This window comes from Homo sapiens, chromosome 16 (assembly GCF_000001405.40).
Source record: "Homo sapiens chromosome 16, GRCh38.p14 Primary Assembly".
NCBI classification, from domain to species: domain Eukaryota; kingdom Metazoa; phylum Chordata; class Mammalia; order Primates; family Hominidae; genus Homo; species Homo sapiens.
In genome coordinates, this window is record NC_000016.10 from 68883053 (window position 1) to 68910830 (window position 27778).

Below are 27778 nucleotides of genomic sequence, written 5' to 3' on the forward strand. Positions count from 1 at the left end.
TGGATGTGGTGGCACGTGCCTGTAATCCCAGTTACTCTGGAGGCTGGGGCAGAAGTATCACTTGAACCTAGGAGATGGAGGCTGCAGTGAGCTGAGATCACATCACTGCATTCCAGCCTGGGCAACAGAGCAAGACTCTGCCTCAAAAAAAGAAAAGATAAAAAATAAAAATAAAGTGTACAGGCATGCCTGTCATCCCAGGACTTTGGGAGGCCAAGATGAGTGGATTACCTGAGGTAAGGAGTTCAAGACCAGCCTGGCCAACATGGCAAAACCCTGTCTCTACTAAGAATACAAAAATTTCTCTCTCTCAAGATTTGCCTATTGTGTACCTTTCATATAAATGGAATTGTACAATATGTGTTTTTTTTGTGATTGGCTTTTTTCACTTTGCATGATATTATAACATGGAGCCATACTTCATTTCTTTTCATTGCCAAATGGTATTCTCTTGTATTAACATGCCTCATTTTGTTTATCTATTCATCAGTAAATGGACATTTAGGTTGTTTCCATAATAGCCATAATAACATTTTGGCTGTTATTAATAATGCTGCTATGGACATTCATGTAAACATTATTGTGTATATTTGTGTTTTCATTTCTCTTTGGTATATACCTAGGAATAGAATTGCTGGATCATGTAGTAACTCTATGTTTTACTGTTTGAGGCACTTCTGGACTGTTGTCCAAAGTGACCGCACCATTTTACATTCCCATCGGCAGTATATGAGGGTATAAAGTGAATCACATTCTTTCAGATAAGAAGGCAGATGCTTTTGTTTTGCTTTAAGCGTTCTGCATGGTACTAGTAGATTCATAGATAGAAAATGCAAACTCATTCTCCATAGCATTCACTTTCTTTCTTTTTTTTTGAGACAGAGTCTCCCTCTGTTACCCAGGGTGGAGTGCAGTGAGATGACCTTGGCTGACTACAACTTACACCTCCCAGGTTCAAGCGATTCTCCTGCTTCAGCCTCCCCAGTAGCTGAAATTACAGGCACCCACCACCACGCCGAGCTAATTTTTGTATTTTTTGTAGAGACAGGGTTTCACCATGTTTGCCAAGCTGGTCTCAAACTCCTGACCTCAAGCAATCCCCCTGCCTTGTCCTTCCAGAGTGCTGGGATTACAGGCATAAGCCACCGTGCCCGGCCTCACTCACTTTATTTGTAAAGTGAAATGTTTACTACCCTTGTATTTAATTTCACTATTTTTGAAAATGGAGTCTACCCTTTGAGGGTTGACCTGGCACACAAATATGGAATCAGATTGCTCAGAGATTGAAAGATGACATGGTGACTATGTGAATATAATGCTGTTTTTATTTTTTAATGTCTCATGGATAGACTTCTGAAAAGAGGGGTCTTCTATCCTGTTCTGAATATTAGTAGACTTTTCAGATTATGGAGAGATAAGAAATTATTAGAGCAGTCTAGAAAGCAGATGTTCTAAATTAGCGAACAGTGGCCTACTAACTTTCAGAAAGACCATGTCCCATCTAAGAAATAGCATGATGAAAAACTGCCAAGTGGTTGGGTTTGGAATGTTGGAAAGACTTGAAAGTACTGTCAGGATAGGGGTAAGACTAATTGTGACTAAATTTTGGTGCAAACCCTTTATGGTATGCCTTGGAAGTCAGTAAACTTAGAGGGAGAAAAAAAAAAGCAAACAGATAATTTCTTTCTAGCAAGGGAGTTATCCTCTAAAAAACAGAGAGAGATCTGGAAATAATGAATCCTGCCATTTCTCCTATTCTTGGTCCCCAAAAAAGAGGGAGGAAACCTTTATAGTTTGGTCAACAGTTTGGCGAATTTAAAGCCCCCTGGAGAGGCAAGCAAACCATTAGTTTTCTGTAGACACTTGATTATGCACCAAGGATTGGCACTGTTGTGAAACTAAGAGGGGTGGAAGGGTAATTATTCTCTCTGCAAGGTTTTGGCAGCCAGCTGCAGTGGGAAAACAGGAAATGTGTATGTTGGAGGAAAATGGTAAACACTGGGTAAAATTTAACAACAAAGGATGTGTTGTGTCTATTAACTTTCTGCTAATACTAAATTATAGAGTACAGCTCAAAGGCAGGAAATAAGGAAAATATCGGGGATGGGTAAATTGATCCAGCTGCTCACTAGGTAACGTGGAGGATAACAAAAGAGTGTTTAATTTTAGAGAAGCATTTGGGAACATTTCCAGCTCTTTTTTTCTCTCTCTCTTTTTATTCTTGTTAACAGATTTATTAAGACAAAAATTCACGTAACATACAGTCCACTCATTTCAAGTGTACAGCTCAGTGTTTTTTAGTATGTTCATAGGGTTTTGCAACCATTGTCAGTCTAATTTTAGAATATTTTTGTTCCCCTTAAAAGAAACTCGTATCCATTAGCTGTCATTCTCCATTCTCCCAACTCTGCTCATAGCCTTAGGCAACCACTCATCTATTTTCTGTCTCTATAGATTTGCCTATTCTGGACATTTCATATCAATGGAATCATAGAATTTATGGTCTTTTGTGATTGGCTTCTTTCAAGTCTAGTCAAGTGAAGCAGTCGGAGCGGAAAGGGGTCAAAGAAATCTGTAACTGGTTGTGATTAATTAGTTGTAAATACCACTGCACTGGAGCATGATGTTTTTAAGGTTCATTTGTATTGCAGCATGAAGCAGTACTTCAGTCCTTCTTATTGCCAAAAAGTATGCCATTATATGGATATACCACATTTTACTTATCTGTTCATCTGTTGATGGATATTTGGGTCATTTTCACCATTTGGCTCTTATGAATAATGCTGCTATAAACATTGGTGTATGCTATTAGTTTTTGTGTGAACCTATGTTATCGTTTCTTTTGCCTGTATACCTTGGAGTGGAATGCTGGATTATATTGTAACTGTATGTTTAACTTTTTGAGGACCTGCCAAACTTTTCCGAAGCAGCTACACCATTTTACGTTCCCACCAGCAATGAGGGCTCTAATTTCTCTACATCTGGCCAAAATTTTTTACCTGTCTTGTCTTTTTTATTATAGTCCTCCTAGTGGGAGTAAAGTAGTATCTCATTGTCATTTTGATTTATGTTTCCTAATGGCTAATGATATTGAACAGCTTTTCATGTGCTTATTGGCCATTTTCATGTCTTCTTTGGAGAAATGTCTATTAAGGCCCTTTGTCCATTTTTTTTTTTTCTGAGACAGAGTCTTGCTCTGTCTCCCAGGCTGGAGTGCAGTGGCACAATCTCAGCTCGCTGCAACAACCTCTGCCTCCCAGGTTCAAGCAATCCTACTACCTCAGCCTCCCATGTAGCTCGGATTACAGGCATGCACCACCACACCTGGCTAATTTTTTGTCCATTTTTAAATTGGGTTTATTGTCTTTTCATTATTGATGAGTTGAGGGATGGGCTCCTGGCTTAACAAACAGCTCACTCCAGAGAAATCCTCCTCACCGATCTCATCTCAGTCTCTCCATACTTTTTTTTTTGAGACAGAGTTTTGCTCTTGTTGCCCAGGCTGGAGTGCAATGGCATGATCTCAGCTCACTGCAACCCCCGCCTCTTGGGTTCAAGCAATTCTCCTGCCTCAGCCTCCCCGGTAGCTGGGATTACAGGTGCCTGGCACCACGCCCAGTTAATTTTTTGTATATTTTAGTAGAGACGGGGTTTCACCATGTTGACCAGGCTGGTCTTGAACTCCTGACCTCAGGTGATCCACCTGCCTCAGCCTCCCAAAGTGCTGGGATTATAGGCATGAGCCATTGCACCTGGCCCATACTTTTTTTTTTGAGATTGAGTCTCACTCTGTCACGCAGGCTGGAGTGCAGTTGTGCGATCTCAGCTTACTGCAACCTCTGCCTCCAAGGTTCAAGCGATTCTCTTGCCTCAGCCTCCCAAGAAGCTGGGATTACAGGCGCCAGCCACCACACCCAGCTAATTTTTGTATTTTTAGTAGAGATGGGGTTTTACTATGTTGTCTAGGCTGGTCTCAAACTCCTGACCTCAGGTGATCCACCTGCCTCAGCCTCCCATAGTGCTGGGATTACAGGCATGAGCCACCATGCTCGGCCCTTCCATACTTTTGATCCTTCTCTCCCCTCTTTCTGGAAGAGCAGTTTTTATAATCCCCAACCTGTTCCCATCTTAGTCTGCTGTCTTTCTTTGGAGTGTGGGTCTATTTTATCTTGGTGCCTCACTTGGCATTTCCACCTTGACATCCCCTGTCATGTGCACCATTGCCACCACCCACCCAGTGGCCACCCCAGAGGCTGTGCACTAGCTGCAGAGCAGCCCGTGTCACCTTTATACACTATCCTGATCAGACTGCAGGTTATCTGGTTTTTCAGACCATAGGAGAATTCAAAGTTAAAAAATAGAAGTTAGACTAAATAAGGCACAATGACAAGAGAATGCCAGCAGAGAGGAACAAGAAAGAACACCAAAAAACTACTCAAAAAGGGCATAAGAATTTGAAAAGCAAAGTTTGTTGGGGCTGGTATGTCCAATATACTTTGTTTAAAAAGGGAAGGATTGCATATTAGAAATATTTCCTTCTAGGGCCAGGCACAGTGGCTCATGCCTATAATCCCAGCGCTTTGGGAGGCCAAGGCGGGCAAATCACTTGAGGTCAGGAGGTCGAGACCAGCCTGGCCAGCATGGTGAAACCCTGTTTCTACTAAAAATACAAAAAAATTAGCCGGGCGTGGTGGCTCGTGCCTGTAATCCTACCTACTTGGGAGGCTGAGGCAGGAGAATCGCTTGAACCCGGGAGGCAGAGGTTGCAGTGAGCCGAGATCATGCCACTGCACTCCAGCCTGGGCAACAGAGAGAGACTCTGTCTAAAAAACAGAAACAACAACAACAACAAAAAAGAGTAAACCCTCAATGCTCTGAATGAAAATTTTATGATGGGAAAAAGTATAGGGGAAGGGCTTTTTACTCTTGCGTCCTTCACTCCAGCAGGGAGTAGAGCAGGTGGTTCTGATGGCTCTGGGGGGCCAGGAGGAAAGTTCTCCACATGTAGGTGCATTCATAGGTGCTAGGTGAATTGAATTGAAAACCTAGCATAGCCACGTGTACTTCATCTGCATAAATGATTCTCACTTCTATATATGTACCTTCTATCTGGTAAAATTATCTGAGACATAAAGGGGATACACGGCTCAAAACACTTTTAGTCCAGTGGTTCTCCATTCTCTCCTTCTGCTCTGAATGCCTGGGGCCCAATCCCTAGAATGCTTAAATTCTTTGCCCTCCCTGGTATGAGAAGGATTAATAGTGTATTCTTTGCCTAGAGAGGTGAAGGGAGGCCTAGGTTGCACAGAGACTGGTTCTGGGTAGGACAATGTAAGAGAGTTATAATGCCTTTTTATTTGGACATTTTTTGCTCGTAAGAGGATTGGCTAGATTCTGAAATGGGGAAAACGTTTCCTTTTAGTATACTTCACATTACTTGCCTGACACTCTTCCTAAAAGCAGAAGAAATGTTAGGGTAGGAAAAACTGGGAGGCACTTAAGTAGTTTATTTCCTCCATTCTCATTTCCATTTTATCTCTCTGTTTCCAGATTCAGGGAATTTTGCCTTTAATTATCCAAGTCTTTTCTCCATCTAATCTTAATGAATTTCTAATTACAGCTATTCTGTCAGATTGGATATTTGACTCCTCTTTCTGAATTTTTAATTAGATTTGCAGAGTAAATTAGAATAATAGAATCTTAGAACTGGAAGGAACTTCAGAAATAAGTGTAACCTCTCACTTTTTAAATAGACTTTATTTATTATTATTATTTTTTGAGCCGGAGTTTCGCTCTGTCGCCCAGGCTGGAGTGCAGTGGCGCAATCTCAGCTTATTGCAGCCTCTGCCTCCTAGGTTCAAGTGGTTCTCCTGCCTCAGCCTCTGAGTAGCTGGGATTACACCTGGGATTACAGGCATGTGCCACCATGCCCGGCTAATTTTTGTATTTTTAGCAGAAGTAGGTCTTCGCTATGTTGGCTGGGTTGTTCTCGAACTCCTGACCTCAAGTGATCCACCCGCCTCAGCCTCCCAAAGTGCTGGGATTACAGGCGTGAGCCACCACGCCCACCAATAGACTTTATTTTTTAAGAGCAGTTTTAGGTTCACAGAAAAATTAAGTGGAAAGTACAGGGAGTTCCCATATATCTATCTCCAGACAGCCTGGTATATTTGTTACAATTGATGAGCCCACCTTAATGCCTCAGTATCATCCAAAGTCCGTAGTTTACATTGGGATTCACTGTTGGAGTTGTATAGTCTATGAGTTTTGACAGATTAACCACTCATTTTGTAGTAAAGAAAATAAAATCCAAAAGATTTTGTGAAGTGACTTGTTCCAAATCATACAGCTGGGGAGTGGCAGAGCAAGTCCAGGAACCAATCTTTCCTTCCCTTTCACTCTCCCTTTCTGTGTTTAAAAAAGATCATATTTGCACATGGTACAAATTTAAGGACAAAAAACTTTATAGTGAAAAGTTAGTCTCTTTCTAACCTTGGTTCCCTGCACTGGCAATAATTCTTTCTGGAAACATCCATGTGTAATTGAACTGTGACCTTGAATTACAAGCAAAAGACCGAAAGAAGTATCTTCAAGGCTGTGGGAATTGCAAATGTTAGCTTTTCTAAATGCTTTGGTTCAGACTCTCTGGTATGGTGTAGCACCTTTGAGCCAGACAGACCTAGGTTGGAATCTGGCTCCAAAGTTGACTGTCCATGCAACTTTAGGTAACTTATTTAACACTTGATTTGTGAGGATGAAATAAGGTAACTTGGTGGGTTCGTGGCATATTGTAGCACATAAGTGCTCAAAAAACTGTCAGTTCTCTTTTGGTTCAGGGAAACTTGTTTTTTAAAAAGACGATCTTATGCAATATGTTCTGAAAGCATGCACAGTGCAAAATACTTGCTATATTAGGTAACTTGCCTTGTTCTTTTTTCCTCTCACAAGTCTTAATTACACTCAGCAAGTGCATTAGAAGTTCTGGAACACTACTATCAGAAAGATCACTGTAATGTTTTAGAAGGCTGTATTTGACTAGTTTAATCTTTAGGAGGTGTAAAATCAAGTTCCAGCCTGTACTGAATTTCAGTGTTAGGATTCAGTCAGCTTGATTCCGAATAGGCCCCTCATGTTTGTATTCCCACACATGTACATCCCTGTAAAAGAGAAGCCCATAAATTAAGAAAATATTTCCATTCACAATAGCATCAAACATATAAAACATTTAGGAAGAAATCTAACATTTGTATGGGGTATATATTTCACAAAATCTTTTAACATGAATTATCTTAATTGGTCCTTATGCCAAAAGCTTGATGCCTACATTATAAATGAGAAAATGGAGACTGAGAGCGACTGAAATGTCTTATCCATGTTCACTCATTTAACGTGTAATTTGGGGCAGTCACAAAGGTGACAGAAACAAAATTCATATCCAAGTTTCCTGACTACTGACTTCCCTGTGCTCTTTCAGCTACTCTGCAGTAGTCTCTAAGGGACATGCTTAGCAATGTCATGGAAGTCTATGAAATGAGAAATGGGGCATGTGGCCGGGTGTGGTGGCTCACGCCTATAATCCCAGCACACTTTGGGAGGCCAAGGTGGGCGGATCGCTTGAGGTCAGGAGTTCAAGACCAGCCTGGCCAATATGGTGAAACCCTGTCTTTACTAAAAATGCAAAAATTAGGCCAGGCGTGGTGGCTCATGTCTATAATCCCAGCACTTTGGGAGGCCAAGGCAGTTCGATCACCTGAGGTCAGGAGTTCAAAAACAGCCTGGCCAACATGGCGAAACCCCATCTCTACTACCAAAAAAATAAAAAATTAGCTGGATGTGGTGGTGGGTGCCTCTAATCCCAGCTATTCAGGAGGCTGAGGCAGGAGAATTACTTGAACTTGGGAGGCGGAGGTTGCAGGGAGCCGAGATTGCACCAGTGCACTCCAACCGGGGCAACAGAGTGAGACTCCATCTCAAAAAAAAAAGAAAAAAAAGACTTTGGGAGGCCGAGGTGGGGGGATCGCTTGAGGTCAGGAGTTCAAGATCAGCCTGGCCAACGTGGTGAAACCCCATCTCTACTAAAAATACAAAAATTAGCCGGGTGTGGTGGCTCATACCTATAATCCCACCTACTCAGGAAGCTGAGGCAGGAGAATTGCTTGTACCTGGGAGGCGGAGGTTGCAGTAGGCCGAGATCGCACCATTGCACTCCAGCCTAGGTGACAAGAGCAAAACTCCATCTCAAAAAAAAAAAAAAAAAGAAATTAGCTGGGCATAATGGGCATCTGTAATCCCAGCTACTCGGGTGGATGAGGCAGGAGAATCACCTGAACCGGGGAGGCGGAGGTTGCAGTGAGCCAAGATTGCACCACTTCTTTCCAACCTGGGTGACAGAGCAAGGCTCCCTCTCAAGAATTCAAAAAAAAGAAAGAAAGAAATGGAGCATGTGAGAACTGCTTTCTGTTTTGTTTTATTTTGTTTGCTTTGAAACAGAAACACGTTTATTCTTAATGTTTTTGACCATTTTGATTCCACCCACTTTTTTCTTTCTCTTTTAAATTTCTAGCCATTCCTTCCAGAAAAATTCCATCCTCCAGATATTGAAGTTAGATGCTGTACAAGCCAATGTACAGTCCAGCTTTGCTCAGTCTGCTCTCCCTTCCATGGCTGAAGTTCTATGATTCTGCTCTGTTAGTTAGCACTGATGGAATCACCTGTAGCTACAGCTTAAGGAAGGAAGGAAGAAAGGAAAGAAGGAAGGGAAGGACGGAGGGGAGGAGGGAGGGAAAGGGAAAGAAAAGGAAAGGGGGAGGGAGGGAGGGAAAGGAAAGAGGGAGGGAAGGAGGGAGGGAGAGAGGAAGGAAGGAAGGCAGGGAGGAGGGAGGGAGAGAGGAAGGAAGGAAGGCAGGGAGGAGGGAGGGAGGGAAAGAGAAAGGAAATGCATAGGGCATTGTAACTTCCCCACAAAAATAGAGCTTTTGAGAAAATAGCAGCCTACTTTGTTCATTTATTCTTTGATTCAATCAGTCACAGAAACATTTATCAGGTATTTACTGAAAGCCAGACACTTTGCCAGGTTCACAAATACAGAAATGATTAAAAACCAACTGCTGCCTTCAAGGCGTTCCTAGTCAAGTAGACAAAGAGTTACAGTAGTGTGTGGGCCATAGCTAAGATCATCCTATCGCTTATTGCAGAGCAGCCCTCTAAGCTTAGATGAAGAATTGTAAGGCTTAACCACAGACGCCTCATATCATAGCTGGCTGGATCTGCGAAAGAAAGCCGAGGTGCAATTAGGAAGAAATGTGGAAATCCCCAGACTGCCACTGGGGTTGTTGGTACCAGTCTGTATCCTTGCCTAATCTGTTTTCATTGATCCACATTGGCCTCTGACTTTGCCCCTCAGCTCTTGCTACATGTTTGTATTTGAAAAGCCACGGGTAAGTGGAGGTTCAGTCTTTCTTTTTTTTTTTTTTTTGAGACGGAGTCTCTGTCTGTTGCCCAGGCTGGAGTGCAGTGGTGTAGCATGATCTCGGCTCACTGCAACCTCCGCCTCCTGGGTTCAAGGGATTCTCCTGCCTGAGCCTCCCGAGTAACTGGGATTATAGGCACCCACCACCACATCCAGCTAATTTTTTGTATTTTTAGTAGAGACAGGGTTTCACCATGTTGCCAGGCTGGTCTTGAACTCCTTACCTCAGGCAATCTGCCCGCCTTGGCCTCCCAAAGTGCTGGGATTACAGATGTGAGCCACTGCACCCGGGCCAGGTTCAGCCTTTCTTCCAGGCATCCTTTCACTTAACCCCAGAGAGGCTTTTATCACACCACGCAATTGAAAAGCTACCTTAAGTTCTCTCCCTTCACTTCTTCAGCTTTCCCATATCTTGGTATTTTGTTTGGGGATCCCTAGTTGTGGAAATACCTAGAGTAACCAGAAAACCTTTCAACTGAACATGATTTCATCTTTAAAGGACTAACTTCAGGACTGATAGCATAACAGAAAGCATATGAGGAAGAGTTAGAAACTTGTTACATCTGGTCACATTGAAACTTCAGTTGTTTTGCATTTTTTGTTGGAGTGGTGGTTAATTTTTTTCAACTAGTCTCACGTCTTAATGATTGAGGTACCAAAAGGGAATGAAGGAAATGAGCAAACTTGCAGTCAAGTCAGAGAATCATAGATGAGATACGAAAGAGGCCTTACAGCACCATTCATCCAACCTTGTTTCACAGATAAGGAAACAGAGAAGTCCACTGATTTGTGTTAAGTCACACAACTGGTCAGCGGAAATATTCATAAATAACTCTGTGTAAGACATACCCAACCATTATACCATTAAAAAAGGGAACTTTCAGTGATATGCTTCTTAGGAACATCTTTATCGTAGGTAGAAATCATACATGAAGTGGCCAGGCACAGTGGCTCATGCCTGTAATCCCAGCACTTTAGGAGGTGGGGCTGGCGGACCACTTGAGATCAGGAGTTGAGACCAGCCTGGCCAACATGGTGAAACCGTGTCTACTAAAAATACAAAAATTAGCCGGGCGTGGTGGCACGCACCTGTAATCCCACCTACTTGGGAGGCTGAGTCACGAGAATTGGTTGAACCCAAGAGGCGGAGGTTGCAGTGAGCCAAGATCACGCCACTGCATTCCTGCCTGGGCGACAGAGTGAAACTGTGTCTCAAAAAAAAAAAAGAAAACAACCAAAAAAAAAAAAAAAAAGGAAAAGAAAAATAACACGTGAAGTATTGTATTGTGTTTCAGAACTTGAATTCCCATCCCACTTTGCCTCCACGTGATCAGGGAAGACCTGCCCCCCGCCCCGCCCCAACTAGAAAGAGACTAAACATAAGCACAGTCCAAGGAAATCACACAACACCCAGGTGTTGGGGCACAGAGGTGGAGCGGTCAGGCCCTGCCCTCCATGGGGCAGGAACAGCTTGTCTGTTGTGCCTTCGCTGCTTCCTCAGTCCATACTGTCACCAGTCCAATGTGGAGGAGGCTGGAAGGAACTACCCCAACCATTTCTTCCATGTGTAGTATGATTTCATGGGAAGGATTATTCCTTTTTAGTGCATTGTTTGGCTATTGTAAGTGCTGGCTGAGTTCGAAATGCAGCATTGGCTGAATCAGTCCAGCCTCTCATTTCCCTGAATAGGTTACCAAACTCCAAATATAAGCCAATGATCAGGGGACGATAAGAGGGAAGTGACCAGATTCTACTTTGGGAGTGTAAATAGGGTAAATAGGGAGTGTAAATGTTGGATATCAGGTGCAGACTGAACTTTAACCTGCATAGGAGTTCAGAACTAGACAAGAGATTGGAAGAAGGGGGCTGTCCTTGGAAGCAGCTGGCCAGAGTATACCCCTGGAGATCTACTGGAAAACTTGGTATTAATAGAAGGGAGCTGTATAAGTAGGAGGAAGGGGAGGTGTTACAGAAGCCGCTGTCCATGGTGCCACACGGACACTTCAGCTCCAGCTTGCAGAGCTTGCAGGACTAGGGTTATTAAAAGCCTGACATGCTGGCATACTGACTCTGAGGGTGGGGACAGCTGGGATAAAATTGGTATAGGCTAGGAACTGAAGCAATGAAAATCTCATTATGCACAGGGGAAGGAGGTAAGTATTGAGAGGCCAGGGGTATGTGTTTGGGGATTTTTAATATTGTAGTAAATACATACGAGATTTACCATTTTAACCATTTGAAATGGTATAATTTAGTGGCATTAAGTTTATTCACGATGTTGCTCAACCATCACCACTATCTAGTTCCAGAACTTTTTCATCACTGTACGTGGAACTCCCATATCCATGAAGCAATCAGTCCCCATTCTAACCTCCGAGTCCCTGGCAACCACTAATCTGCTTTCCCTCTATGTGGATTGTGAATGGATTTTGTCTCAGACAGATCTGGGTTTATCCTGGTTCTGCCCTTTGCTAACAATGTGTCTTTGCTCAACTGACTGACTGCTTCTTTGAGCCTCAGTTTTCCGCATTTTTAGAATAGGAACAAAAATGCTTCACCTGCAGGACTCCTCTTATGAAGACTTTCTGTATGTTAAATGTTTGGCTGAATACCTGGCTCACTCTTGAGTGGAATGCAGTACATGGTAGTTATTGTTTGCTTCATAAAAGCAGTAACAATTAGCCAGGCATGGTGGGATGTGCCAGTAGTCTCAGCTACTCGGGAGGCTGAGGCACGAGAATTGCTTGAACCCGGAAGGTGTAGGTTGCACTGAGGCGAGATCATGCCACTGCACTCCAGCCTGGACCACAGAGCAAGACTTTGTCTCAAAAAATAAAAATATAAAATAAAAAAATAAAAGCAGTAACAGTGGGCTTCCTTTAAATTGTGTACTACTGTATTCACTGCCTATTCACCAAAAATTCAGGTAACACTACTTCATAATCTACTCTGATAGGTGCTGAAGAAGGGAGCTTGACTTTTGCCTTCCAGGCTAGTTCAGGGGTTGGGAGATAACTATGTACTATATTCCTGGACCAATTATATGTCACAGGCTCTAAAGTGCAATTGGAATTTAAAGAAGAAAAATCATTTCATAGTGGTTAGGTGCTCAATATTTGAATGAATGAGTGAGTGAATGAATGAACAGTTGAAGAGTAAATATATGGCAGGCTTATGGAGGAGGCAGAACTTGTGCTGGATCAATTTAATAAGTACCATTGCATATCTTTCATCTCCAAAATCAATCTGGTCATTAGGATGCATAGCTGTGCTTAAGGCAGATAAAAGAAACTGTATTTTTAAAAATTATGTATTTTTATTATTTTAAAATTTTAATTGACACATAATTGTACATAGTTATGTGAAACTGATTTTGATTATTGTTTTTAGATGACTAGTCCAAAACTTTTTAATTTTAATTTTATTTTATTTTATTTTATTTTTTGAGACAGTGTCTCACTCTGTCACCCAGGCTGGAGTGTCTCACTCTGTCACCCAGGCTGGAGTGTCTCACTCTGTCACCCAGGCTGGAGTGCAGTAGCCATGATCTTGGCTCACTGCAACTTCTACCTCCTGGGTTCAAGCAATGATTCTCATGCCTCAGCCTCTTGAGTAGCTGGAATTACAGGCCCACCCCACCACACCTGGCTAGTTTTTGCATTTTTAGTAGAGACAGGGTTTCGTCATGTTGGCCAGGCTGGTCTCAAACTCCTGGACTCAAGTGATCTTCCCTCCTGAGCCTCCCAAAGTGCTGGGGTTACAGATATGAGCCACCACACCCAGCCCAAAGCTTTTATTTTTTATTTTAATTAATTTTTTAGAGACGGAATCTTGTTCTGTTGCTTGGGCTGGAGTGCAATGGCTCACTGCAGCCTCAAGCCCCTGGGCTCAAGAGATCCTCTTGCCTTAGCCTCCTGTGTAGCTGGAAGTACAGACATGCACCACCATGCCCAGCTAATTTTTATTTTTTGTAGAGATGGGTTCATGCTATGTTGCCCAGGCTGGTCTTGAACTCCTGGGCACAAGTGATCTTCCCACCTCAGCCTCAAAGTGCTGGGATTATAGGCATGAGCCACTGCACCCAGCCCAAAACTTGTAAAGGTTACATGTACTTCCATCAAGGAAGTTTAAAGGGAGGTAGATTTGAGCTCAGTACCGAAGAAATTTACTATTAGTGTTGGAAGGGAGGTGGCAATTGTGTATAGATCAAGGAGAGGCCATTGACATTCTTTAAGATACTGTAGAAAGCATTTATTTATCAGATTGAAACAGAAGAAAACCTTAATTCTAAATCTTTTCACTTAAAAAAAAGTCCTATGTCTCTGTTTCTATCCGTGAACTTGGTAGATACTAGTTGGTAAATTGGTAAGGGTTATTCTTTTTTATTTTTTTATTTTTTTGAGATAGAGTCTTGCTCTATTGCCCAGGCTGGAGTGCAATGGCATGATCTCGGCTCACTGCAACCTCCACCTCCTGGGTTCAAGCGATTCTCCTGCCTCAGCCTCCCGAGCAGCCAGGATTACAGGTGCACACCACTACGTCCAGCTAACTTTTGTATTTTTAGTAGAGACGGGTTTCACCATGTTGGCCAGGCTGGTCTCGAACTCCTGACCTCGTGATCCACCCGCCTCTGCCTCCCAAAGTGCTGGGATTACAGGTGCCGTGAACCGCTGTGCCCAGCTGATAAGTGCTACTCTTAATTTTTCTTTCTCTTTCTGCATGCTCTTCCCCTCATCACTATCCATTTAACCTGCTTTATTTTTCTTCCTAGCACTCGTCACTACCTGGTATTATATAGTTGTTGTTTCTTGCCTGCCTCCTCTACTAGAATATTAGCTCCTTGAAGCAGATACTTTGTTCAGCACCGTATCTGCAGGGCTGCAAGTGTGCTAGCACAAAAGTGGCACTCAATAAACATTTGTTGAATCTTTATATAAAAATAATATATACGTATAAATAGCTGTACATTATTTCCTAAATTTTAGGCACAAGTAGTACTTGTTCATTATAAGAAGATATAGAAAAGTATAAGGAAGAAACAAACAAAAAATTAGCGGATTTTTTTTTTTTTTTTGAGACGGTGTTTTACTCTTGTTGCCCAGGTTGGAGTACAGTGGCATGATCTCGGCTCACTGCAACTTCCGCCTCCTGGGTTCAAGCGATTCTCCTGCCTCAGCTTCCCAAGTAGCTGGGATTACAGGCATGTGCCACCATGCACTGCTAACTTTGTATTTTTAGTAGAAATGGGGTTTCACCATGTTGGTCAGGCTGGTGTCGAACTCCTAACCTCAGGTGATCCACCCGCCTCAGCCTCCCAAAGTGCTGGGATTATAGGTGTGAGCCACCGCCCCTGGCCAAATTAGAGGAATTTATCAGCAACAACATATAACCCTGAGGAATGTGCTCAGTTGAGTTCTTGTTAAAGTTTGGGGTGCTTTGGCCCTATCAAGCCAGTAAATAATGAAGACTTAACTCCATTTGTTTTTTGTTTTCTTTGTTGTTCTTGTTTGGGGGCTTATTATTTTTTGTACAAAAAATCCTGGTAAGGAAGGATGGCTCCACAGGGATTACCTCCGAGAACACAGGATCCAAAGCCGAACAATAGGTCTTTACGTTATCTGGAAGAATCTCTTCTTTTGCCTCCTGTAATTGGTGATATCATCATTAGGCCTATACATGACTTCTGAACGCTGCTGTACACAGCACTTCATTTAGCTGGGCTTATGGAGATTAGATCATGCACAGGAAGCTGGCTCCTTGGCTAACAGGCTCCAGAGAGGAGTCAGGAGGCTTAAGGGATGTGAAAAATTAGGGCTGATTTTTAAGAGACAGGATTCACTGGAAAAGCACAGAGATTTTTCCAGCTCATGAAAGTGCCTCCATGATCTTTAGTTTCATGAACAACGTTGATTCCTACTTCAAAACTCTTTCTATAAATAAGGGCCTCTTTGAGCTTCCCTTCCCTTCCTTTTATTGTGTTGTATTGTATTTTATTTTTTATAGTGATGGGGTCTCACCATGTTGCCAAGGCTGTTCTCAAACTCCTGGGCTCAAGTGATCCTCCCTCCTTGGCCTCCCTAAGTGCTGGGATTACAGGTGTGAGCCATCACACTGGGCCGCTTTCACCCGCAAAATAGGGCTCCTAGTAGTGACTTTGTGAGATTGTTATAATTTTAACAAGCTAGCTCTTTAAAGAATCTAGCATAGTACTTGGAAGATAAAAACCTATTATGATTCCCAGAACATACACCATGAGCATAATCATTGTCAGCTCATTTTCTTTCTCTTTTTACCATTATCACTGTCCATACTATCAGGTTTTAATTAACTTCTTATAACAGAATTACATTTTGAAATCCTATTGTGTTTAATTGGAGTTTTGAATAACATTTTTGTACTTCTTAAGATACTTGCAATTATCTGCCTTATTATTATTATTATTATTATTATTATTATTATTGGTTTACTTGGCTGGGTGCAGTGGCTCATACCTGTAATTCCAGCACTTAGGGAGGACGAGACAGGAGGACTGCTTGGGCCCAGGAGTTCGAGACCAGCCTGAACAACATGGCAAAACCCCATCTCTACTGAAAATACAAAACATTAGCCATGCATGCTGGTGTGTGCCTGTGGTCCTGGCTACCTGTGAGGCTGAGATGGGAATATCACTCGAGCTTGGAGATTGAGGCTGCAGTGAGCTGTGATTGCACCACTGCATTCCAGCCTGGGTGAGAGAGACCATATCTCAAATATAATAATAATAGGTTTACTTTTTTTATTCTTCCCATATATCACAAGCAATATGAAGGATTATGACCCTTACTGATTTCTATATTCACTACAGTACCTAAAACAGTGCTTTGAGCCCAGTGAGTGTTCAGTAAAAGTTTGTTGAATTGAATGCGTTTGTGCTAGCCTTATTGAAAGGTACAACTAAAACATGCAGCATTACGATTATTAATAAAATTCACCATCCTCACACACTTTTTTTTTTTTTTAATTTTTTTCATAGGCAGTAGTCAACATCCTCACACACTTAACCATGTAGAGCCAGTACAGATCTAGGTGAACAGTGCAATTACTTTTCTTTTTTTTTGAGACAGGGTCTTACTCTGTCACCCAGGCTGGAGGGCAGTAGCATGATCATAGCTTATTGCAGCTTTGAATTCCTGGGCTCAAGCGATCCTCCTGCCTCAGCCTACCACGTAGTTAGGACTGTAGGTGTGCACTACCAAGCCTGGCTAATTTTTAAATTTTTTTGTAGAGATGGGGTCTTACTATGTTGCCCAGCTAGGCTTGAATCCTGGCCTTAAACAATCCTCCCTCCATGACCTCCAAAAATTCTGGGATTACAGACATGAGCCACTGTGCCCAGCCCTACAGTATAATTTCTTTGAACATTTATAGAATTAGGGAGAATAGGACATGTCCATGTGGTGGTCACATCTTAAGAGTGATGAAACTGGAGTAAGCAGTGTTTTGGGTTTGGTTTGATTTTCCAAATCCAGTTTTAAGTTTTTCCCTTTGGTAGTAATTACTTGTTCCTAATAGCAGGGCCTTCAGCAGTAGGACAGTTATCATATGGTTACACAATAGGTAAATTAGGAAACTCAGACATAGCCAAAAGTAGGAAAGGAAGAGGTCAGAAAGCGGGGTAGTTGACCTATTCTGGGCAGTTCTAGGGACTGCACACATGAAATGGTGCTGCTCCAGTTCACTGTCTTGTTTCAGCCTGTCTGCCAAACTCAAATTGTTTCATTGCCATATCTGAGCACATCTTTGGAGCTAAAATGGTGTGATTCGGATGAGATATTGCTTAAGACGCTGAGCCCTGCTAGGTGTTTGGTGTGTGATTCCCGTTGCTCTGGCCAGGCAGTCATGGGATTATTCTTCACCATTTCCTTTTTTCTAGGTGTACGTGGTTGGGAATGAACCTTTAACAGTTTTGATGGATTCCCTGCTTCCAGTCCTGGGAGTGCTTTTTCTTCTCTACTGTTTTACTAAGCAGAGTGTGTCTCACATAAGGTAAACAATCAAGGGACCCTTATTTGTTTATAAATTGTGACGTCTTTTTTGCATGTTGTTTTTGTTCTTATTTTGAATTTATATTTGCCACTTTGAAATTATCATTTCCTTTCAAAGTCAGGAAAACACTGGGATCTTCCTATTTTGCTCATCTAGAAGAGAACAAGAATTTTGCAGATCACAGGGCATTGGATACAGTTTTTAGAATGACTTTCCTCAGCCTCTGTCCTAAATCTCAAAGACAAAATCTCTGTTTACATGTGTAAACATGCCACTTTTCGATCAGTGAGAAATACTGCAATTACATGTCTAGGAAGAAGGAAATAGGGGATGGATCATAATGACCTTGTGGGGAGTTAGAAAACACATTTGGGAAATCTAGATCTGAATGTGGCACTTTGTAATTTAGCCTAGGATTTGGTGTTGGTGATGCAGTGTGTTGTTTAGATAGAAGGGATTTCTTAGTCATCCAGAAAATACTCCTTTGTCGTAGAATTTAAGTAGGATTCATTTTGTATCAGCTCTATTTTCACAGTAATTTATGTTGTTTCTTCCTCCAGGTAAGAGTTATCTTATCTCAAGTCCTATAGAATTACGATTTTTGGTGTTTGGAGATCCTCACATGTAATCCAATATGCAATAATAGTACCTTCTTCACAGAGTTATTGTGAAGACTAAATATGCATTAATGTGTTTAGTACAGTCCCCGGCAAATAGTAAGCTCAATAAATGGTAGCTATCATTATCACCATTGCTAAGTGGTGAAGGAAAACACCATCTTTTGTACTATTCAAAGCTTACATAGTTCCCCTGGCTCTTCAGCTTGAGTCAGCACATCCTTGTATCCCACAGCTGCAATGGCAACGACAAGAGAGAATGCATTGGAAGAGGGAGGCTGTACATCTGTGAACTTGGTTTCAAGGGACAGTCCACAAAATAACTCTTGTTTTTGTTTTTTTTGAGACGGAGTCTCGCTCTGTTGCCCAGACTGGGGTGCAGTGGTGCGATCTCGGCTCACTGCAACCTCTGCCTCCTGAGTTCAGGCGATTCTCCTGCCTCAGCCTCCTGGGTAGCTGGGCTTATAGGCACCTTCCACCATGCCCGGCTAATTTTTGTAGTTTTAGTAGAGACAGTGTTTCACCATGTGGCCAGCCTGGTCTCGAACTCCTGACCTCAGGTGATCCACCCACCTCAGCCTCACAAAATGCTGGGATTACAGGCGTGAGCCACCGCACCTGGCCTCTTGTTTTTGTTTTAAAACTCAAGTCCTCACAGCACTGTCATGTTCTCATCAGAGACTGACAAGGAACATGTGAACGATGATTTAGTTCCTCTTCTAGTTGATTGGCACAGATGAAAGGGGTTGAGGAATCAGCAATATTTTGTTGGTATGCTGTTTCTTGGTCTCCAGCTGTTGGTCTTGCTGAGAGTAGATGATTTTTATCCGTGTATACTTTCTTTGACAGTGCCTGATGCAAAGGCAGTAGTACACTTGGAATTACCAAAAAAAAAAAAAAAAAAAATCACGTGGGGCTCATGTGGCAAATCAGGGTTGCTGCCAGAGCCAAGGATTAGTCAGTCACTCATTGAATTTCAGGATATTTGCATTCTGAAATTCACAAGAAGCATACTTTCCATTCCTGCATTTCAGTAGTACTAGGAGATTGTGCCAGCATTTAAAATGCAGTGGAACCTGACAGCCTTTCTTTCTTTTTTTATGTTAGCTTGTTAGATGCATGGAGTAAGATGACAAGCTCATTCATAACTGCTTTTTCTGCCAGGTCACTTTGCCAAGAAATCTTATTATGGATTCTGGGGAAGCTGGAAAGGAAGAAGGCAATTGCCAGCCTGAAAGGATTTGCAGGGTTGGACAAAGCTGTGCCCTCTCTCCATTCTCTGTGTCAGTTTAGAGTTGCCACTCAAGGTGGCATTATGATTACCATCAAAGAGGCCATTAGGTGAGTCCACCCATCCGTTACTGTTCTCTTCAGATTTAGTTCCGCCCAAAAGGCCATTCAGTGATTCAACCACTAAGGGGCGCTGATAGAAAAGAAACCAGAAACTCAAGTGGCTCAGGTGCCTGCTATTTATATTCTCTAAATGAAACGTGAGCCTTAAATAATCCTCCAGGTTTTTTCCTAAGATGCCTGCTAATAGTTGGTGCAATTTACTGGAGCCTCACAGCTCTGCATCACAACAAGCCCACTTACTCCACCATCTTTGCCAGTTAATCAGAGTAAAGGGCAGACACATGTTCACCCTTAACACCATAATAATCCAATTATCTTTCTGACTCTCAAAATGGTATATGTGTGTGTTTATAGTCAGACTTATTCCTGAGGGAAATTGTCTAATAGCTATCTTTTATGGTAATTTTATGATGGAAATTTGTTTCTCATAGGGATTGATTAGAAAGTGCTTAATAAATATTAGTGGAATGGATCATTTATTTCTCCAGCATCTCACAATTGCATATTTTAAATTATTTCCACTTTCTGGATGATCTAATGTTATTACCTCAGAACGTAAATTCCTGTTGGTCATAGTCCATGTAACATTCATGGGTGACTGCTATCCTGTTTGGATTTCACATCACATTCAAAGTGCTGCTGTTTGTTGAAGTGTTGAAATATAATTATATATTCATGGTTAACTTGGTAAAGTTGTAAAACACCCCTTCAGTTTGATGGACTTGAGGAAAATAGAAAAACACATAGATTGCAAACAGAATTATCAGTACAAACGCAAGCTGCTATTCTGCCCAGCAACAGTTATCAAGAAGATGTTTTTGGCCAGGCACGGTGGCTCACACCTGTAATCCCAGCACTTTAGGAGGCTGAGGCGGGTGGATCACCTGAGGTTAGGAGTTTGAGACCAGCCTGGCCAACATGGTGAAACCCCATCTCTATTAAAAATACAAAAATTAGCCAGGCATGGTAGTGCATGCCTGTAGGCCTAGCTACTTGTGAGGCTGAGGCAAAAGAATTGCTTGAATCAGGAGGTGGAAGTTACAGTGAGCTGGGATCGTACCACTGCACTCCAGCCTGGGCAACAGGGCGAGACCATCTCAAAAAAAAAAAAAAAAAAAAGAAGGACCAGGCGTGGTGGCTCACACCTGTAATCCCAGCACTTTGGGAGGCCGAGGTGGGTAGATCACTTGAGGTCAGGAGTTCAAGACCAGCCTGGCCAACATGGTGAAACCCCATCTCTACTAAAAATATAAAAATTAGCCGGTTGTGGTGGCTGGCGCCTGTAGTCACAGCTACTCAGGAGGCTGAGGCAGGACTGTCACTCGAACCCAGGAGATGAAGGTTGCAGTAAGCCAAGATTGCGCCACTGCACTTCAGCCTAGGTGACAGAGTGAGACTCTGTCTCAAAAAAAAAAAAAGAAGTTTATTTAAAGAAACTCTATAAGAGCAGCTTGGATTTTATATCTTTAGATCCAGAGTTTTTACTTTTCTGGAATTAAATATAATTGTTTGGAATTTACTCTTTATTGTTGAATTTTAAAGCGTGACTAAAGTAGTGCTTCTTAAGATAATTGTCATGTGTTTTTGTTTTGTTTTGTTTTGTTTTTTGGTGCTGAGTGTTGCTCTGTCGCTCAGACTGGAGTGCAATGGCATGATCTTGGCTCACTGCAACCTCTGCCTCCTGGGTTCAAGCAATTCTCTTGTCTCAGCCTGCCAAGTAGCTGGGACTACAGGTGCGCGCCACCATGCCAGGCTAACGTCGTGTTGTTTTAGGAGTATTTGAATACAGTACTTCATTTTCACAATTAAAATGGCTCACAGAAGCTTAGAAGGGACGTTTATCCATTTTGGCTTTTCCTTTAACATAGAATGTTGTGGAGAAAACATGACTGATCTGAAGGACTCTGGAAGATTCTGGGATAATACAGGAAATATCCTAAGCTAAATATGTAGGTTATTCATTCTATTAGAGGAATATGAAGTCCATGTTCTTAGTGAACTGGCACATTGAGACATACTGCCTGATGAGATGGGCTGCCAAATTAGTAATTGTACTTTTCAATGAGATGAAGAAACATCTATCTTTTTTTTCTCAACTTAGTCTGAAAAAATTTTATGTCATTGGTCACTGAAATAACACATATTCTTTGTACAATACAAAAAACACATAAAGAGGAAAACAAAAGTCAACTAGTATCTTATTTTCTGTTCACATTATTTTAGTGTTTTGCTTTTTAGTGCATCTTCAATGCCTTTGTATTTGTTTATATGATAATATGGTATAATAATATAGTATCTTGAGCTGGGTATGGTGGTTCATACTGGTAATCCCAGCACTTTGGAAGGCCAAGGTGTGAGGATTGCTTGAGGCCAGGAGTTCAAGACCAGCCTGGGCAACATAGCGAGACTCCATTTCTTAAAAAAGGCCAGGCGCAGTGGCTCATGCCTGTAATCCCAGCATTTTGGGAGGCCGAGACGGGCGGATCACCTGAGGTCAAGAGTTTGAGACCAGCCTGACCAACATGGAGAAACCCCGTCTCTACTAAAAATACAAAATTAGCCGGGCGTGGTGGCATGGTGGCGCATGCCTGTATTCCCAGCTACTTGGGAGGCTGAGGCAGGAGAATTGCTTGAACCTGGGAGGCAGAGGTTGCGGTGGGCCGAGATTGTGCCATTGCACTCCAGTCTGGGCAACAAGAGTGGAACTGTGTCTCAAAAAAAAATAAAATAAAATTGGGGCTGGGCGCAGTGGCTCACGCCTGTAATCACAGCACTTTGGAAGAGGCTGAGGTGGGTGGATCACGAGGTCAGGAGTTTGAGACCAGCCTGGCCAACATGGTGAAACCCTGTCTCTACTAAAAATACAAAAATTAGCCAGGCGTGGTGGCGGGCACCTGTAATCCCAGCTACTCAGGAGGCTGAGGCAGGAGAATCACTTGAACCCAGGAGGTGGAGGTTGCAGTGAGCCGAGATTGCGCCATTGCACTCCAGCCTAGGTGACGAGCGAAACTCTGTCTCAAAAAAAAAAAAAAGTTAAAAAAATAGTAAGTACACACACAGGTGTATATATATGTATACATAGTATCTTTGTCTCTTGTCAGAATAATTAAAAACTAAAAGCCATAGTACCTCATGGGAAAGTACAAAAATTTCTTGCCCAGCCTGGGCAATGTGGCAAAACCCGGTTTCTACAAAAAAATACAAAAATTAGTTGGTTGTGATGGTGCCCCTCTGTAGTCCCAGCTACTTAGGAGGCTGAAGTGGGAGGATTGCCTCAGACTGGGAGGTTGAGGCTGCAGTGAGCCACGATCGCACCACTGCACTCCAGCCTAGGCAATGAGTGAGACCCTGTCTCAAAAATTAAAAAAGAACAAAACAAAAAATGGCCGAGCACAGTGGCTCACCTGTAATGCCAGCACTTTGGGAGGCCGAGGTGGGCAGATCACGAGGTCAGAAGTTCGAGACCAGCCTGGCCAACATAGTGAAACCCTGTCTCTACTAAAAATACAAAAAATTAGCTGGGCATGGTGGTGGGCGCCTGTAATCCCAGCTACTCAGGAGGCTGAGGCAGGAGAATCGCTTGAACCCAGGAGGCGGAGGTTGCAGTGAGCCAAGATCGCGCCATTGCATTCCAGCCTGGGCAACAGGAGCGAGATTCTATCTCAAATAAATAAATAAATAAATAATTATAGAAATTTTCGCAGTAACCATAGCACTGATTTAGCCAGATTTTATAACTTGGTAATCATGTTCAACCTACTCATTTTTCTGAACCTTTATGCATTTTCTTATCTCGGCTAATTGGTTCCTTTCAGTTGAGACTGCATGTCCTCCCATGATGATCACATCTTTTTCTGCTGCCCATAACCCTTCAGTGGCTCATCAGAAAAAAGTCAAAGTTCCTTTGAATGACATCCAAGGCCTTCTGTGATCTAGCCTTACTTTGCAGCCTTCTCTTTCTTTGTTTTTCCTCAGGACCCAGAATATCTGCATATGACTTATACTTTAATTCCTCCTTGCTTTTGCAGAAGTAATAGTAATTCTCCAACATCCATCTTTTTTTTTTTTGTAGAAATGAGATCTTGCCATGTTGTCTATGTTACTTGAGTTCAGTGGCTATTCATAGTTGTGACCATAATGTACTACAACCTCAAACTCCTGGGCTCAAGCAGTCTCCCTGCCTCAGCCTCCTAGTGCACTACAGGTGTGCACCACTGTGCCCAGCTAATATCCATCTTCATGACCATGCAGGACATAACCGCCTAGTTTCTTCTTCTTTTTTTTTTTTTTTTTTGAGACAGAATTTCACTCTTGTTACCCAGGCTGGAGTGCAATGGCACAATCTCGGCTCACTGCACCCTCCGCCTCCTGGGTTCAAGCGATTCTCCTGCCTTAGCCTCCCAAGTAGCTGGGATTATAGGCATGAGCCACTACGCCCAGCTAATTTTTGTATTTTTTAGTAGAGACGGGGTTTCACCATGTTGGCCAGGCTAGTCTCAAACTCCTGACCTCAGGTGATCCACCCGCCTCGGCTTCCCAAAGTGCTGGGATTACAGGTGTGAGCCACCTCACCCAGACCTTGATTTTTTTTTTTTTTTTTTTTTGTATTTTTAGTAGAGATAGGGCTTCATTGTGTTAGCCAGGATGGTTTTTGTCTCCTGACCTCATTATCCTCCCGCCTTGGCCTCCCGAAGTGCTGCGATTACAGGCGTGAGCCACCGCGCCTGGCCCATAACAGCCTAGTTTCTGATAATCAATACTTTTTTCAGAATGGAGAAACAATAAAATAAGTTAAATAAATTTGGGGGATCTTTTTAATGGTTAACTGTTTGGACATAACATGTTACTTTAGAAGATTGTTATGGGGTTTAAAATTATGTGTATCTCTGGTGACACTACCAAGATAAATTTTACCCTGCATTGCAGTGATGAAGATGAAGATGAAGCCCTGTACCAGAAGGTATCCTCTGAGCAGGGCCGGGTGGAGCATCTCGGGGACTTGCTGTCCCACTGCCAGGAATGCGGTTTGGCAGGAGACTTCTTCATCTTCTGTTTGAAAGTAAGAACTACCTGTAGTTCCTGGTCAGTGTTGTTCCAGGGGAGTTCCAGGAAACCCTTAGAATTTTCAAAGCATTTATAATTTTAGGTCCTAAAATGTAGGCCCTAATTTAAGGAAAATGGTCAGAGGACATAAAGGAATTTATTTTTTAGTAGCCTTTGGATTGGTAAAAGGAAGAAACTTCTCTTCACTAGTACTCATGTTATCTACTACTTCTCCAAGTAATCGGCACTGACAGTTTAGAGATGAACAAAGCAAAACCCTCGATCCATGAAAGGGTTAATCTTTGCTCTGTGTTGACAGTAAGAACTCTTTTGAAGTTAATAGCAGGTTTTACAGCTATAGAGTAATCCCTTATCCTTTCTGACTGTTGTTTTGTCAGGTATTTGCAAAGGAGATTTAGCAATTCTGCCTCCTTCATTTCATTTTGCAGGCACTTGAAGCCTTTTCCGGGTTTGTTTCTTAGTGCCAGTGGTTGTGCTTTGCTTGCTTTTCTTCTGTTCTCTGAGAGTAACTTGTACCCCATAATGTTACTCCTTGTTGCACTGTATGACATCATAAGCCAGTGACCTCCAGCTCTGCTTTCTCAACTTCTTCCCCTAAGTAAAGTGTCTACTCTAAAAGAACTCTAAGAGAGTTTAAGGTTTCTGTGGGTATGGGAGAATTCAAGGAGGGAATCAGGGCTAACATTTCGAGAACTTGAAATAGGGGACACCACTTTTTGATGCTTTCTTACCTCCCATGTTCACACCCGTCCCCGTGCCCAGCAATACTCTTTCTAAATCACGTTCCAAGGGGATGTGCTCTTAATTGTATACTTAAAAAAAGGTGGCTCACGCCTGTAATCCCAGCACTTTGGGAGGCCGAGCCAGGTGGATCACCTGAGCTCAGGCATTTGAGACCAGCCTGGGCAACATGGCGAAACCCCATCTCTACCAAAAATACAAAAAAAAAATCAGCCTGGCATGGTGGCTTGTGCCTGTAGTCCCAGCTACTTGGGAGGCTAAGGTGAGAGGATCACTTGAGCCCAGGAGGCAGAGGTTTCAGTGAGCCAAAAAGGGTAGGTGAATAGCCTACAAAACCCACAGTAATACATGATTTCTTAGAAGTTAGTTCTAAGTATCTTAGAGGAAAAGAGCTGTAGTGCTGGAGGCATCTCATGGTCTCCAAAAGGGGTTTGAGAATGTGAGGTGATCTGAGGTCTCAGTTCAAGGAAGGCTACTAGTAGAAATCATAAAAATACCCACAAAGCAGAAAGCTTGTCAAACCATTTCTTTGTGTGTGTGTGTTTTATTATGAGATTTTAGATTTTTATATACATGGTATCATACTGTACATATTATTCTGCAACTTAGATTTTTCACTCAGTAGTGTTTTTGAGATCTATCTATATTGATACCCATATAAATCTAATTCATTTATTTTAACTGCTGTGATACAATAAATACATCATAATTTTTTCTTATTGCTGGACATTTAGCTTGTCTCCAAGTTTTGGCTATTATAAATAATGTTGCAACAAACACAGACTATTTATTTAAACATGCAGTTCAAACAGAGTTTTCTGCTTATGTTTGAGAAGGCCTTAGTTGTACTGGCTTTATCTTCACTTTTTCTTTCCTGCCATGCTTGTAGGAGTTGACTCATGTGGCCTCGGAAAATGAAACAGAGTTAAAAACTGAGCCCTTCTCCAGCAAGAGCCTCTTGGAATTAGAGCAACATCAGACTCTTCTTGTGGAAGGCCAAGAGCGGAAGCTGCTTGTCCTGCAGCTGATGGCTGTTCTGTGCGAGAGAATGTCTGAGCAGATATTCACAAACGTCACTCAGGTCAGTAGTTGCCACATTCTGGACCGCAGCCTTTTTTTCTTTCCAAAAAATAAAGTTTAAAAATGTTGCTGAGAGTGTGATTTGATGACACCTGGATCATGAGGTGTTTCCTGGAATGCTGGTTAAATATGGAAACTACACAGCCCACACCAGGCCACTGAATCCAAAACGTTCCAGTGTCCTGAGACTCCACACGTTTAACAAGCTCCCGAGGTGATTCTCATGCAAGTAAAATTTTGTCTTAAATGTTTATATATTATGTTATAGTAGTTTTCAACTTTGGGTGCAAAACAAGTTATCTGGGATCTTTTTCAATATATTGATAGCCAGCCCACGTTTAGAGATTCTGATTCAGCATGTCTGCATTAGAGCCCGGGCATCTTCGTCCTACTCAAGCTCCATGGATGATCTAAGGTGTATCAAAACTTGAAAATGATTATACACTCAACTTGAAGAAATCACTAATAATAATGAGATCACCTTGAATTTCATTATGGGTCCTGTAACTCACAGCTTATCTCCACAACATTCTCTTAAGTTTTAAGATGTTTTAAAAAATGCTTTTAGAGGAGTATCACTATGCGAGTCAGTGTCTGAATTGTATTGGCTCAGACATTATTTTTCCCACCTTTAAAAAAGATAGGAAATAAAAGTAATAAAGCAAAGGCAGTACAGTTGCCAGATTTTACCACTTAACCAGAATTAGTTGTAGCTTGGTTGGTCAATAGGCAGTTGTAAGATGGCATGATTGTCACGCTTAAATCTGATTCTCCAGCTCTTTGTATGGTCGTCATTGTCATCTGCCTTCGGGTGTTGCTAAGCAGCATTTCACTATAGCTCCTGCTGAGAAAATTTGCAGCTGCCTGTCAGCTCTGACTTACCGTGCCTGTTTAATGAGAATTATGCTCATGATTTCTTTCCTGGCCTCTTATTCTTTCAGTTCACTGACCCCGTGTTACTCAGTAGGGTGATTTGTTTCTCCTGTGTTTATATCCATTCTCTGGACACTTCTTCATCCAGACCTTATGTTTTTGTCTCAGGATGCTAGTTGGAAGGGGAAATGGTCTAAAAATTGATATGACTTGAGCTTTTGCACTTAGCTCCCTTTACTCCTAATTAAGGAACAATGGTGTCAGGCTGGTAGAAAAATGATTTGTCCCATTAAATTATCCTTCAGCTAAGGTTAAAATGTATCAGGGCAAAAAGAACCACAAGGAAATATTAAATTGCATTTGGTAATGTCACTGCTCGTGATAATATTGGTATATTGTTTTGTTTTATTATTATTTTTTGAGATGGAGTCTGTCTCTGTCGCCCAGGCTGGAGTGCAGTGGCGCAGTCTCGGCTCACTGCAACCTCCACCTCCTGGGTTCAAGCAATTCTCCTGCCTCGGCCTCCCAAGGAGCTGGGATTACAGGTGTGCACCAT

The 27778-nt window shown here is 42.2% G+C and overlaps 1 protein-coding gene across 5 annotated transcripts in view, besides 1 other annotated feature; it reads left to right on the top strand.

Moving 5' to 3' along the window:
- TANGO6 (transport and golgi organization 6 homolog) overlaps positions 1–27778 on the top strand; it is a 241652-nt gene that overhangs the window by 39522 nt on the left and 174352 nt on the right. For 3 of the 5 annotated variants that reach the window (NM_024562.2, XM_047434632.1, XM_011523327.4), the window contains exons 8-11: positions 17382–17494; positions 19276–19452; positions 24391–24523; positions 26159–26350. In NM_024562.2, coding sequence (NP_078838.1) covers positions 17382–17494; positions 19276–19452; positions 24391–24523; positions 26159–26350 — 615 coding nt within the window. Of the gene's footprint in view, positions 1–8523; positions 11392–11473; positions 11623–17381; positions 17495–19275; positions 19453–24390; positions 24524–26158; positions 26351–27778 lie in introns of those variants that run through there. The other 2 variants (XM_047434633.1, XM_047434634.1) reach the window with 2 other exon arrangements.
- Positions 11361–11561: a silencer, noted in NCBI's record as "peak2625 fragment used in MPRA reporter construct". NCBI's record gives its function as "represses an SCP1 promoter by STARR-seq MPRAs in K562 erythroleukemia cells {active_cell/tissue: K562}" and the evidence as "EXISTENCE:reporter gene assay evidence [ECO:0000049][PMID:32103011]".